General features: G+C 46.6%; 1 protein-coding gene across 6 annotated transcripts in view, besides 3 other annotated features; it reads left to right on the top strand.

Annotated features, from left to right (window-relative positions):
* Nucleotides 2,298–2,592: an enhancer, noted in NCBI's record as "tiled region #12783; HepG2 Activating non-DNase unmatched - State 22:ReprW, and K562 Activating DNase matched - State 8:EnhW". NCBI's record gives its function as "activates a minimal TATA promoter and a strong SV40 promoter by Sharpr-MPRA in HepG2 and K562 cells {active_cell/tissue: HepG2 | K562}" and the evidence as "EXISTENCE:reporter gene assay evidence [ECO:0000049][PMID:27701403]".
* Nucleotides 5,152–5,384: a transcriptional cis regulatory region, noted in NCBI's record as "candidate enhancer chr5.702 targeted for multiplex CRISPR interference". NCBI's record gives its function as "positively regulates CMBL gene expression with high confidence in K562 cells {active_cell/tissue: K562}" and the evidence as "EXISTENCE:mutant phenotype evidence [ECO:0000015][PMID:30612741]".
* CMBL (carboxymethylenebutenolidase homolog) overlaps nucleotides 7,987–14,218 on the top strand; it is a 30,308-nt gene continuing 24,076 nt past the window's right edge. Inside the window, exons 1-2 of one of the 6 annotated variants that reach the window (XM_047416717.1) lie at nucleotides 12,855–12,948; nucleotides 13,094–13,250. The gene's annotated coding sequence lies outside the window, so the exon portion shown is untranslated. Of the gene's footprint in view, nucleotides 8,375–12,854; nucleotides 13,006–13,093; nucleotides 13,251–14,218 lie in introns of those variants that run through there. The other 5 variants (XM_047416718.1, NM_138809.4, XM_047416714.1 and 2 more) reach the window with 5 other exon arrangements.
* Nucleotides 8,209–8,709: an enhancer, noted in NCBI's record as "H3K4me1 hESC enhancer chr5:10307292-10307792 (GRCh37/hg19 assembly coordinates)". NCBI's record gives its function as "activates a minimal SCP1, AML or CMV promoter by ChIP-STARR-seq in primed H9 embryonic stem cells {active_cell/tissue: H9 hESC(primed)}" and the evidence as "EXISTENCE:reporter gene assay evidence [ECO:0000049][PMID:30033119]".

Genomic DNA, 14,218 nt, shown 5'->3' with positions numbered 1-14,218 from the left:
GCAGATCACTTGAGGTCAAGAGTTCAAAACCAGCTTGGCCAACATGGTGAAACCCCGTTTTTACTAAAAATACAAAAAAATTAGCTGGGTGTGGTGGTGCGTGCCTGTAGTCCCAGCTACTTGGGAGGCTGACGTGGGAGAGTTGCTAAACCCAGGGAACAGAGGTTGCAGTGAGGCGAGATCGTGCTATTGCACTCCAGCCTGGGTGACAGAGTGGGACTTCATCTCAAAAAAAAAAAAAAAAAGGAAAAGAAAAAGAAACACATGCTTAATACACTTAGTGATGTAAAACACGCATATGTAGTATTTCATACAGTTTTTGAGGGTCAGGAATCTGGGGGTGGCTTAGCCCATGGTTCCGGCACAGGGTCTCTCAGGAAGTGACCATCAAGATGTTGGCCAGAGCTGCAGTCATCTGAAACTTCACTGGGGCTGGAGGATTTGTGTCCAAGATGACCCAGCCACATGGATCCTGGAAAGAAGCCTCCGCTCATGGCTGGCTCTGGCCAGCAGCCTCAGTTCTTCACCACGTGGGCCTCCTCACAGGGCTGCTGGCACCTCCCAGAGCAAGTGATCTGACAGAGGGAGCAAGAGTGGAAAATAGAGGCCAAGATGAAGCCACTTATAAAAATAAGTTAACATCAGAAGTGACAGCCTGTTATGTTTTATCCGTTTTTCTGTAGCTTATAACAGAACACTTAAAACTGAGTAATTTGCAAAGTAAAAGAACTTGTTTCTTACAGTTATGGTGGCCAAGCAGTCCAGAGTTGAGGGGCTGCATCTGGCGAGGGCCTTCTTGCTGGCGGAGCCTGCAGAGTCCCAAGGAGTGCAGGGCAGCAGGCGGCAGGGAGACTGAGCGTGCTAGCTCAGGTAGATCTTCCTCTTCTTATAAAGCCACCAGTTTCACTCCCAAGATAAATTCATGAATCCATGAATGGATTGATCCATTTTGCCCTCATGACCCAATCACCTCCTAAAGGCCCCACCTCTCAGCACTGCCACATTTAGGATTAAATTTCAACGTGAGCTTTGGCAGGGACAAACATTCAAACCATAGCACATTACTTCTGTTGCATGTCATTGGTCTCACAGACCAACTATGGTGCGATGAGGCACAGCGGGGTTGGGGACTACTGAAGGGTATGACTGCTAGAGGTGAGAATCAGTACAGGCCAGCCAGCAGACAGCCACAGTCCACCTTCTGGTCTCCAAAGCTTCACATCCTTCCCACATGCAAAATACCATCAACTCCTTCCAAAGTTCCCCAAAGGCTTATCCTATTGTAGCATCAGTTCCATCTCCAGATCATCTAAATCAAGTCCAGGTGGGACTTTATTTCCTTAAATACAGTTTCTACATTATAATTCTTCTTGATAGGTTGTCTGTCTACCTCTGCCTCTCCCTCCCCAATTGAACATGTAAGAGAACACAGAATAACTACTCCAGACGCCCCTGTTCACAAAGGGAGAAAAAAAAGGTGTCGTGTGTGGCTGAGGAGCAGCCTCAGTCCACTGCTTGACAGTAGAATTTTTAGGGTCTTCTTTTTGGCCAGTCATTGTAGCTCATTCCTGTAATCCCAGCACTTTGGGAGGCTGGGGTGGAAGGATAACTTCAGCCCAGGAGTTCGAGACCAGCCTGGGCAACATAGTGAAACCCTCATTGCTACAAAAAATAAAAACAAAATTAGCCATTATGACATGGCTAATTAGGTATGATGACATGTGCCAGTAGTCCCAGCTACTGGGGAGGCTGAGGTGGGAGGATTGTTTTAGCCCAGGAGGTCCAGGCTGCAGTGAGCCAAGATCGTGCCACTGCACTCCAGCCTGATTGACAGAGCAAGACCCTGTCCCCTCCCCCCAAAATAAGTAACAAATAAGGTCTTCTTTTTAGGTTGTATTATTTCTGTTCCTTTCAGTCCAAGCTGGTAACATTTCCGTATATACAATTCTCTTAAACTATGGATTTTCTGTGAATTTTATTGGGGTTCACTCCATAGACAAATGCAACACCCACAAATCTGTTCTCTACCTTTGGCTTCTGCAGACAGCTGAGGGACAAAGCCCCTAAGCTTCCTAGAAGCACTCTCCTTTGATTGAGAGAGGCTGTGGGGTGCACCTTTACTCTATAGAGCAGGCCCTTTGTCTGACTCAGTGGTACTCTGAGATGCCACCTTATATCTCTTTGGAATCTTACAGTCACACCTAAGGGTTCATCTTGGACCACAGTTTTTCTGGCAGGACCTGCATTTGATCTTTGCTTAGAAGCCATTTCTTAATTGTTTCATAATTTGCTAATATAGTTTGGATATTTGTCCCCACCCAAATCTCATGTTGAAATATAATCCTCAGTGTTTGAGGTGGGGCCTGGTAGGAGGGAAGAGTTTGGATCATGGGGGTGATTCAAAACTGAAGCTCATGGATGGCTTGAGTCATCCTCTTGCTGATAAGTGAGATCTTGTTCTGAGTTCCCACGAGATCTGCTTGTGTAAGTGTCTGACGGCCAGGTCCTGTGGTCCCAACACTTCGATAGGTCAAGGCAGGCAGATAGCTTGAGCCCAGGAGTTCGAGACCAGCCTGGGCAACATGGTGAAACCCTCTCTCTACAAGGAAATTTTAAAAATAGCTGAGTGTGGTGGTCGCACCTGTATTCCCAGCTCCTCGGGAGGCTAAAATGGGAGGATTACTTGAGCCTGGGAGGTTGAGGCTGCAGTGAGCCAAGATTATGCCACTGCACTCCATCTTGAGCGACAGAGCCTGACTATTGCTGCAGTGCAGTGGTGTGATCTTGGCTCACTGTGGCCTTGAACTCCTTTGCTCAAGCAATCCTCCCACCTCAGTCTTCCAAGTAGCTGGGACTACAGGCATGCACCACCACACCCGGCTAATTTTTTCACTTTTTTGTAGAGACGGAGTCTCACTACCTTGCCCAGGCTGATCTTAAACTCCTGGGCTCAAGTGATCCTCCTGTTTTGTTTGTGATCCTCTCAAAGTGCTGAGATTACAGGTGTGAGCTACCACACCTGGCCCGGGTATTTCTCTATAGCAGTGCAAGAACGGCCTAATACATTTGCCATCTAGGCAGACTGAGAATTTCCAGAACTATCCAGTTCTAATTCATTTATATTTAACTGTCTTTCCTTTTGTTGACCTATCTTCTAGCATCTTACTAGAAGGAATTAGAAAAAACTAGGTAGTACTTTAAACACCAATTGAAGATCTCCTTGGCCAGATTACCCAGCTAATTTGCTTCTGTCTACATAACTGCAGTCAACAGCATTGCCAAACTGTCTGCCACTGCATAACAAGGACCCCCTTCCTCCAGGTTCTAGTTCATTGACCTCACTTTCCTACAAGTGCTCACTTGCAATCTTTAAAGATCCGAGTCTTAGGCCCAGTGTGGTGGCATGTGCCTGTAATCCAGCACTTTGGGAGGCTGACTCAGGAGGATCCCTTGAGCTCAGGAGTTTGAAGCTGCAAAGAGCTATGACCATGCCACCGCAGCCTGAGCAACAGCGTGAGGCCCTGTCTCTAAAAAACAAAACAAAAACAAAAGACGTGAATCTTTTATCAACAGGTTTTTTCGGGTAAATCAAGGCTTTCACTAACACTCTCGATAATCCAAAGCCACAGTTCCAAAGTCACTATCACACATGAAGTGTTGTCATAGCAGCACCCCACTTCCAGTTATCAAAGGTATCAACATCTGTGTGAACTAACAATCGCTGTGTCACAATTTAGCCCAAAACTTAGCAGCTCACAACAATAAACATTATTATCTTGCACAGTTTGAGGTTCAGGAGTCTGGGAGTGGCTTAGTTGGAGTTTCTGGCTCAGGGTCTCTCAGGAGGTTACCATGGGGTTATGGCATCTGACACTTGGCTGACGCTGAAGGATTCTTGTCCAGGATGGCCCAGGAACATGGCTGTGGGTCACGATTTCTTTGCTCCAGAGGCTACTCAAGACATGGCTGGGAGCTGACTTCCCCTACAGCATGTGATCTGAGAGAGAAAGCTAGACACACACACACAGAGACACACAGAAACACACACACAGAAAGAGAAAGAGAGAGAGAGAAGAGAGAGGTGGAAGTCCCAGAGTCTAATCTAATGTTGGAAGAGACGTACCATCTGATATGGTTTGGCTGTGTCCGCACCCAAATCTCATCTTGAATTCCTGTGTGTTGTGGGAGGGACCCAGTGGGAGGTAATGAATCCTGGGAGTAGGTCTTTTTTTTTTTTTAGATGGAGTTTTGCTCTTGTTACCCAGGCTGGAGTGCAGTGGTGCAATCTCAGCTCACTGCAACTTCCCCCTCTTGGGTTCAAGAGATTCTTCTGCCTCAGCCTCCTGAGTAGCTGGGATTACAGGCACCCACCACCATGCCTAGCTAATTTTTTGTATTTTTAGTAGAAACGGGGTTTCACCATGTTGGTCAGGTTGGTCTCAAACTCCTGACCTCAGGTGATCTGGCCACATTGGCTTCCCAAAGTGCTGGGATTACAGGCGTGAGCCATGGCACCTGGCCTGGGGGCAGGTCTTTCCCATGCTGTTCTCATGTTAGTGAGTAAGTCTCACAAGATCTGATCGTATTATAGGAAGGAGTTTCCCTGCACAAGCTCTCTTTTCCTGCCACCATCCACATAAGATGTCACTTGCTCCTCCTCGTCTTCCACCATGATTGTGAGGCCTCCCCAGCCACGTGGAACTGTAAGCCCATTAAACCTCTTTCTTTTGTAAATTGCCCAGTCTCGGGTATGTCTTTACTGGCAGCATGAAAACAGACTAATACACCATCACTATGTTGGTAGACTATTGGTCACACAGACCAACCATGGTAAGTGTAGGAGACTACATAGGGTTGTGATTTCTCAGAGGCAGGGCACGTTATGAGTCATCTTGGAGGCTGACTACTACAAAATTATTAAGGGGTAAAATGTCAAGTTGTCTATAATTTCTACACTTTTGAAAAAAAAATCGATGAAGCAAGTTTAGCAAAATACTAAAGATAATTATATTTAGGCCTGGGGTATATGGGAATTAATTGTATTCTTCTTTCTACCTTTCTATATGTTTGTACATTTTCATTAATAAAAAGTGAAAAAAAAAGCAAATTTAAGCTTTCTATCTGGGGATGACAAGATGGCCGACTGGTGCTCAAGAACCTTCTAGAAATCACCTACCCAGCCTCTCACCTGTCTTCACCAGCAGTGCCTTTCCTGTGCACAGGATTCAGCGCTTTCCCAGCGGGCTCCCTGCAGCTCCACCAAGGAGTGCTGGAGGCTGAGTCAGCAGCACGGCCAGGAAATGGTAACAGATGACATAGAATATGTTTGCCCTCAGGTATTATTTTGAGATGTTCTGAAACACAGCAGCACTTTTTCTGATTTTGTTCCAAGCGTCTTTAGAGGAGCAATTCCAAGGAATACTTTTCCTGGCCTTGCCTTCAAGGTCAGTGTAAATCACAGGAGTTTGAGCAGAGTCAGCAATTTTGTTTAACTTTGACCTTGCCCTGTTTGTTAATTCAGCTTGGACTCATTCTGTCCCTGGAATTTAGTTACCTATTTTATAATGAAAAATAAAGATAACTTTGGAGGGGTAACGAGCAGCAAACGCTGAGTCATAGCTCTTTAATTTATAGGGAACTCCATGAAATCTTAGAGTTCATTTCTGCTGAGAGTTTCTGTAAGAAGGAAACTTAATTTTTTTAAGAACCTAGGTTAAATAATCACTTGTGTGATTAATTTTCCATGGAGTTTGGCACTAAAATTGGTGAAGTTGAAAAATTGTCCTTTTAGGTGTCACAAGCAATTTGCGCATTGTAGGATGGAAACAAGAATTTTTCTTCAGCCTGGGCAACAGGGCGAAAGCCCGTCTCTACAAAAACAAAAACAAACAAACAAACAAAAACTTAATTGGGTGACATGCCTGTAGTCCCAGCTACTTAGGAGGCTGAGGTGGGAGGATCACCTGAGCCCAGGGAAGTAGAGGCTGCAGTGAGCTGTGATCATTCCACTGCTCTCCAGTCTGGGTGACAGAGTGAGACCCTGTCTCAAAAAAAGTAAATAAATTTTTTTCTTTGGCGCTGACCCTGAATTTGTTCTGGGTAATAACACTTTGGTAACTTTTTAAATTATTCTGATGTTTAAAAAATCCCTAACCACTATTTTAGAGAAATTCCAAGCCCATAAAATAATTCAACTGCAGATGTTTCAGACTGGGTTTTGAAAGATCCTGTCTGAAAGAAAATTAGTGTATCTCTAGAAGGAAAACACTGTTTTAGTCCGTTTGGGCTGCTATAACAAAAACACCAGGCTGGGCGAGGTGGCTCATGCCTGTAATCCCAGCACTTTGGGAGGCCGAGGCCAGTGAATCACCTGAAGTCAGGTGTTTGAGACCATCCTTACCAACATGGTGAAACCCCATCTCCACTAAAAATACAAAAAGTAGCTGGGCATGGTGGTACATGTCTGTAGTCTCAGCTACTCAGGAGGCTGAGGCAGGAGAATTGCTTGAACCCGAGAGGCGGAGGTTGCAGAGAGCCGAGATGGGACCACTGCACTCCAGCCTGGGCGACACAGCGAGACTCTGTCTCAAAAACAGCAACAGCAACAACAACAACAAAAACATCATAGATAGACTTGGGTAGCTTAAACAACATTTATTTCTTATAGTTCTGGAAGTTGGAAGTCTGGGATGGGCCAGCAGGATTGGGTTCTTGGTGAGTATCCTCTTCCTGGCATACAGATGAGGAAGCAAGCTCCCTTGCCTCTTTTTGTAACGGCACAAATCCCATTCTTGGGGGCTCCACCCTCATGACCTAAGCATCTCCCAAAGGCCCCGCCTCCAAATACCACCATGGGCGGGGTGGTTAGGATTTCAACGTACAAATTTTGGAGGGGACACAAACATTCAGTCCATAACAACACCTTTGCAGTGGGGATGGCAGGAAGTGCGGCCACCACGGTGCAATGGCTTTTTAATGTGCCCATTTGTCCAGGCTGAGCTATATTCCTAGAATTCCCTTTTCCTGTATGTTTCCAGTTTGAGTGAGCCACAGGGGTGTGCTTCTGCAGCCAAGTTGAAGCTGTTGTCATAACCTTGGGCAGATGACCAGAGAAAATACGAAGGAGGCAAGTATGAAACGTGTATTAATTTCTTTTTTAAAAAAAGGCTTAATTTGGGGCTGGGGCCGGGTGCGGCGGCTCACGCCTGTAATCTCGGCAGTTTGGGAGGCCGAAGCAGGTGGAACACTTGAGGTCAGGAGTTCGAGACCAGCCTGGCCAACACGGTAAAACTCCGTCTCTATTGAAAACACAAAAATTAGCTGGGCGTGGTGGCGCGTGCCTATAATCCCAGCTACTGGGGAAGCTGAGGCAGGAGAATCACTTGAATCCGGGAGGTGGAGGTTGCAGTGAGGTTGAGGTTGAGATCGTGCCACTGCACTCCAGCCTCGGCAACAGGGTTAGACTCCATCTCAAAAAAAAAAAAAAAAAAAAAAAAAATTGTGGCTGGGCATGGTGGCTCACACCTGTAATCCCAGCACTTTGGGAGGCTGAAGGGGAGGATCACTTGAAGCCAGGAGTTCGAGGCTCCAGTGATCTATGATTGTGTCACTGCACTCCAGCCTGGGTGACAGAATAAGACCCTATCTCTAAAATAAAATAAAATAAAATAAAATAAAATAAAATAAAATAAACAAAAAATAGCTTAATTTGTATTTACAACAGAAGTTACTTGTCTTGGAAGCCAGGCACGCACGTAAATCTCACAGAAGGCTGGCTGTCTTCCTTCTCCTGGCCTCCCTGCCTCCTCCCTCAAGGCTGCCTGATTCTCTTCTCCCTTCCTCTCTGCGGTTCCCTCCCTCCCACCCCCTCTCCCTGCACCTTTCTTTATCTTGGAGCCTCTCCCATCTCTCCCTCCCTCTTCCTCCCTACCCCACCCTCCGACCACCCCACTTCTTCCCCTCCCCTCACACTTCCCTCCCTCCCTTCTCTCGTCTCCTCCCCACTGCGCCTCCCTCCCTCCTGGCCTTCCTTCCCTTCCCCGACTTTGCAGATTTCTCTTCCCCCAGGCCTCCCTCCTCCACCTCTCCGCCCCCTCCGGGCTTGGCTCTCCCAGGAGGCTACGACTGGAGCCACTGGTCCCGCAGGATCCCCGCGTCCTCGGTCGCCGCGTCCACGTCCCTCTCGCGTCCCCGCCCGGCGCCACGCCGCCTCCTCTGGGTTCGGCCTCCGCGCGGTGCAGCGCAGTCTCAGGCCGCGGGACAAGGTACGTGCGCGTCCCCGGGGCACACAAGCCCACACAAGCCCGGGCCCCGCTCCTCTGAACTCCCGCGTGTGTTCTGACTATGGCAAAGAAGGTCTTTGCCGCGTGCACGGGTAAGGAACTTCCCATAGTCCGTTTTCAGAAGCTGACTTTCATAAAAGTGATACGTTGTCCTTGCAGAACAGCAGCCTCCACGATCCCATGCGTCCGAAGCAGCCGCTGTTTACATTTTGGTATTTTCCTGTAGGTGTTTCGCCATGCATTTTAAAGACATAGTGGAAATCACACCGTATGCAAACTTGCGTTCGTTTTGGCCATTTAGCACGGAGGAGCCTTTCCACCATGCCGTTAAATACTCCTTGTAACTCTCTTCCTGCAGTGAGACATTCTGGTTGTAGCGTTTTTACTAATATAAAACTATTAAAAAACTGAGCATATTTGCAACTAAATCAGCATCCACATTCGACAGCTTTTCTTTAGGGTGGGTATTAAGAAGAGAGGTGCTGGGTCTATGGATCTAAGAGTGGGACATCCTAAATGCTGGGTAGGTGTGCCAGGAACGACTGGACAGTTTACACCCCACAGCCATGTGGGTCGGGCAGGCCTTGGAAACACTGGGCACTGAGATTTATGTCCACTTGCTGATGGAAGATGCCACCTGTTGTTTTCAAAGCCCATTTAAAATAAAGTGGTTAGTAATGAGCCTCGCCGGTATCCGGGGAATCCTGTCCAGGCCTGGGAACCCTATCCAGGCCTAGGAACAGCCAGAGAAAAAGCAGATTCTGCAGGGGCGTCGTTGGCATGTCTAAGAGGGCCATTGTGGGCTCATCCAGGTAGCTTCCTAATTCATGCTATCTCGACCATAGACACTTGGAAAATACAAGCATGGCTGCTGAAAAATAAATATTTGGAGAAGTTTGATGTTTGTAGAATCATCTAAGGATAAGTACTGGCCCTGCCTTCCCTGCTGCAAGATTGAAAATCACTTGCCATGCAAGTTCCTACAATGTTTAAGCAGTAAAGGAGAAACCTCCTGCCTTTCCCATTAGACCCCACTTTCCTGTGTTGTCTTGGGGTCCTCTGTAACCCTGAGCCCTGGATGCACTTCCACGTGGTTTCTATTTCTAAATTTCTAAAGCTTCCAGAAATGTATTCCTCCCTTCTCTCCTCTCCTCCCCGCTGCGCCTCCCTCCCTCCTGGCCTTCCCTTCCCCTACTTTGCAGACCTCTCTTCCCCCAGACCTCCCTCCTCCTCCTCTCTGCCCCCTCCGGGCTCAGGCTCTCCCAGGAGGCTGGAGATGTATTCCTAGACTTCCCTGCTTGTTATAATCCCAACTGCACCAGTCCCTTTTGCTTGTCAAAATCTGTTTTCTCTATTTCTGTTGGAGAACTGCGTTGTGCCTGGAAGTCTGACTTGTGAGTTATTTGAATCCTTAGGGCGTGAAATCAGGAAAACCACACCCTCACCATACTTTATCACCTCTCTTACCTGTCTGACTGCCAGTGTTAGAAAGGGAATGTTTGATTACATTGTTAAAAGATAATTTTCAGCCAAAGGTGAAATCGTGACTTTTATACAGATATAAAAGTGATAAATATTTTATTTTATTCATTAAAGAGAGAAATAGGCAGATGTTGTAACTGGTTCAAAAAAGAAGTCAAGAAGTGCAAATGTATACGGAGTAAAGGAGTGCCTTGTGAAGGTACACGCAGGAGAGGAGCATACCCTTGGAATTTGCAGATCAAACACTCAACTGTAAGATTGGGCACAGTGGCTCATGCCTGTAATCCTAGCACTTTGGGAGGCCGAGGTGGATGTATCCTGAAGTCAGGAGTTTGAGACCAGCCTGGCCAACATGGTGAAACCCAGTCTCTACTAAAATACAAAAATTAGCCAGGCGTGGTGGCATGTGCCTATAATCCCAGCTACTCAGGAGGCTGTGGCAGGAATATCGTTTGAACCAGTGGGGCAGAGGTTGCAGTGAGCGGAGATTGCACCATTGCACTCCAGCCTGGGCAACAGAGTGAGACTCCGTCTCAAAAAAAACAAAAAACAAAAAACAAAAAACACTCAACAGTGATCCCCATGGGTTTTGATGTGTAATTTTCCAGAGGGACATGCTTGTGTTAGGCAGAGTGAGGCTCCTTCACCCCTACAGAGTGACTCCTGTGGCCCCTCCAGCTCTGCCTCACACAAGCAAATCTCTCTGGAAAATTACACATCAAAACCCATGGGGATCACTGTTGAGTATTTGATCTGCAAATTCCAATTCCATATGCTCCTCTCCTGTGCATACCATCACATAGAAGTCATTCACACATATGCAGCACCTTGCAGCAATGTCTATGGGGAATCATGCATTTGTGCTGGTGGTGGCCAGTGTGGGCATTGCCGACGAACATGGCCACCAGGGTGTCCTGCAGGGCACTCCACAGAGCTAGGAAAAGCGTCCTGATTTCCAGAGACGTCACCAGTGGAGACCACAGAACTGACCTGGGGATGACCAGAAGGTGGCCCCAAACACATCTGCCATGATACAGAAAAGCCTTTATTGACAGCATGTGTAACGAGGACTCTGTCATGCATCTCAGACACACAGTCCTGCCCCAGCACAGGAGGAAAAGGAAACCTTCTTACTCACAATAAAGGACCTCATCATTTGTAAAAAGTGCCTCAGTGGAAAAGTACCCATGTCTATAGCACGCCCTGTGGGCTGTCTGATTCCAGCTCCATTCATTGTACTTGAGCCATTTTTAGGAGTAAGTGGCAGATCTGATAGATCTGTAAATTCTATCCCGTTTCCATGCAGAATTAATGGACTCTTTCCCCTCCTGTGGAAAAAAGTTAAAAAAAAAACATGTTGTCTAGGCTGGTCTCTAACTCCCAGCCTCAAGCAATCCTCTTGCCTCAGCTTCCCAAAGTGCTGGGATTACAGGTGTGAGCCACTGCGTTTGGCCAAAAAGATATTTTGTCTTCATTTGCAATTCATCTCAACATTTCTTTTGTCAACTAAAGAATGATGAGTTTCATAAATTTGGAAAAAGAGAGCTTTATTTCTCATAAAGTGTTGCAGCCCGCAAAGCGGCCATTCTGACAGGCTGGGAAGTGTAGTCTCTGGCCAGAAGCTGGAAACAGACCCTTCCAGTGTGGGAAGAATAGTACAGGGATCTGTGCTGAACAGTGTGGCCAAACACACAGATTCAATAAGCTATAGGAGGGGTTATGAATTTTTAAAATAATGGATTAGCTAATACTTTTGAGACAGGGTTTCATTCACTCCCCCAGGCTGGAGTGCAGTGGCATGATCATTGGCTCACTGCAGTCTTGACCTCCTGGGCCCAAGTGCTCCTCCTAGCTCAGCCTCCTAAAAGGCTGGGACCACAGGTGTGTGCCACCAAGCCTGGCTAATTTTCTAATTTTTTTTTTTTTTGTAGAGATGGGGTCTCCCTGTGTTGCCCAGGCAGGTCTTGAACTCCTGGACTCAAGTGATCCTCCTGTCTTGGCCTCCCAAAGTGTTGGGAGTATAGGCATGAGCCACTGTTCTCAGCCATGAATATTTTTGAAGGAGAACCGTGTACGTGGGCAATTGAGCTTTTTGCCTCTTCATGGGAGCCATGTTCAAAAAATGACTGCGTTAGCATGATCCAAGGGTGGTATTTTTGGCCCTCTGTTGTTAAAAGCTGAAGCAGAGGACACAAAAATCCTTACTGTGCACCCTCTGTAGACAGGCCAGAACCATGTCATGGTTGGTGTTTTGTTATCAGGCAAAAAGGAGGGCAGTGTCATGCGGCTGGGTGATATCAGTGTGGGGTTGTTTGAAGAGGCTAGTTTCTGTTTAGCCTTTAGAAAAGAAAGCCTCATGGTGATTAGTGAGTCAGGAGCGGATAATGAGAGGTGTGTGATCCCCCAACCCATAACTATATAACTGAGTTGTATGGCCAATAACTCAGTTTTTAAGGTTATTCTGGGGTCTCCTTGGTGAAGAGATGATCCAGTCAGTTGGTTGGGGGCTTAGAGTTTTTAGTTTACACTTTCCAGTGCTGCATTTGTGCTCTTTTGATTTTCCTTCAAGCCTGTTAGAACATCTGTTAGTTTTTTCCTGTCGTTCAAGTAGAGTACAATCCTCAATGTTGTTTGTTTTTATATCTGTTGAAGAGTGATGGTTTTACTTCTTTCTGAAAATTATCTTTTAATAAATACATGTGTTGTTGACAGAAGGAAGTCAAACTCTGTAAAATGTTTGAAGAGGTTTATTCTGAGCCAAATGTGAGGACCATGACCCATGACACAGCCCCCAGAGGGCCTGAGAACATGTGCCCAAGGTGGCTGAGTTACAGCTTGGTTTTATACATTTAGGGAGACATAGGAACTCGATCAATACATGTGAGGTATACATTGGTTCAGTCTGGAAAGGTGGGACAACTCAAAGATCGGGGATGGCAGGGTCAGGGTGGTAGCTTACAGGTCACAGGGGGATTCAAAGGTTTTCTGATTGGTGCTTGGTTGAAAGAGTTAAATTAATAATGAAAGACCTGGAATCAATAGAAAGGAGGGTCTGGGTTAAGATAAGAGGTTTGGGAGACCAAAGTTCTTATTATGTAGGTGAAGTCTCATAGATGGCTACCCTTAGAGGCAATAGATAGCAAATGTTTTCTGTTCAGACCTTTAAAAGCTGCCAGACTCTCAGGTAATCTTTTCAGGATCAGAAAGAGACCTGGAAAGGGAAGGGGATTCTCTACAGAATGTAAGTTTCCCCTACAAGAGATAGCTTTGCAGGGCCCTTTCAAAATATGTCAAAAATATTTTGGGGTAAAATACTTGATTTGTTTCAGGGCCTGCTGTCTATATCCTTGGATGCTGTATTTGAGTCAGGTTGGAATTTCATACCTTATTTCTACAAAAAGTCTGTTTCGTCAGTCTTGAGACCTCTGTTTGAATGTTAATGCTGGTCATTTGTGCCTGAACTTCAATGGAGGAGGGAATAATGAGGTATGTTGGACTCCTCCTTCCTGTCTTTTTTTTTTTTTTGAGACAGAGTCTCGCTGCAACCTCCTGGGTTCAAGCGATTCTCCTGCCTCAGCCGCCCAAGTAGCTGGGATTACAGGTATGCACCACCATGCCTGGCTAATTTTTTTTTTTTTTTTTTAGTAGAGACAAGGTTTTGCCATGTTGGCCAGGCTGGTCTTGGATCCTTGCCTCAAGTGATCCACCAGCCTTGGCCTTCCAATGTGCTGAATTATAGGCATGAGCCACTGAGCCTAGCCCCTCCTTCCTGTCATGGCCTGAATTAGTTTTACAGGTTTCTTTGGAATCGCCTTGGCCAAGAGGAGAGGTCCATTCAGTTAGTTGGGATGCTTGGAATTTTATTTTTGGTTTACAGTGCATTTGCAGGAGGAAGCTAAAATCCTGAAAGGTATATACAGAAAATATAGTACAGTTAGTTGAGAGTCAAGGGTATGTTCCCTGAGACTTGCCAGGGTAGAAACTGTTCGCCCTGCCCATTGTGGACTTGGCCCCTGGCACAAGGCGTGGCCTGGCTGCTGTGCCCACGTGGAGGGTCTGGGCAGGAGTCCAGCCTTCGACACACACGGGCGTCTCCTGTAGGAGAATAACCTTGCAGGATCAGCCTAGAGGGCTGCTCGCCTGGCTGTAAGCATTCCTTTTGCAAAATGGATGTCAACTGAAAATAAAGTAAAAACATTCAGATTAGAGGCTTCCTGGAATGGCCAGGATTTTCTGTGATCCCTAGGTCCTCATAGCCAACAAACAGCCCAGATAAGAAGTCAGCCCAGATAAGAAGTCAGCCCAGACCAGCCTGGCGAACATGGTGAAACCCCGTCTCTACTAAAAATATAAAAATTAGCCGGGCATAGTGGCGGGCACCTGTAGTCCCAGCTACTTGGGAGGCTGAGGCAGGAGAATCGCTTGAACCTGGGAGGCGGAGTTTGCAGTGAGCG

Source organism: Homo sapiens, chromosome 5, assembly GCF_000001405.40.
Source record: "Homo sapiens chromosome 5, GRCh38.p14 Primary Assembly".
Taxonomy (NCBI): domain Eukaryota; kingdom Metazoa; phylum Chordata; class Mammalia; order Primates; family Hominidae; genus Homo; species Homo sapiens.
The sequence above is the reverse complement of the archived record's forward strand: the minus strand, read 5'-3'. Positions and strand labels throughout refer to the sequence as shown.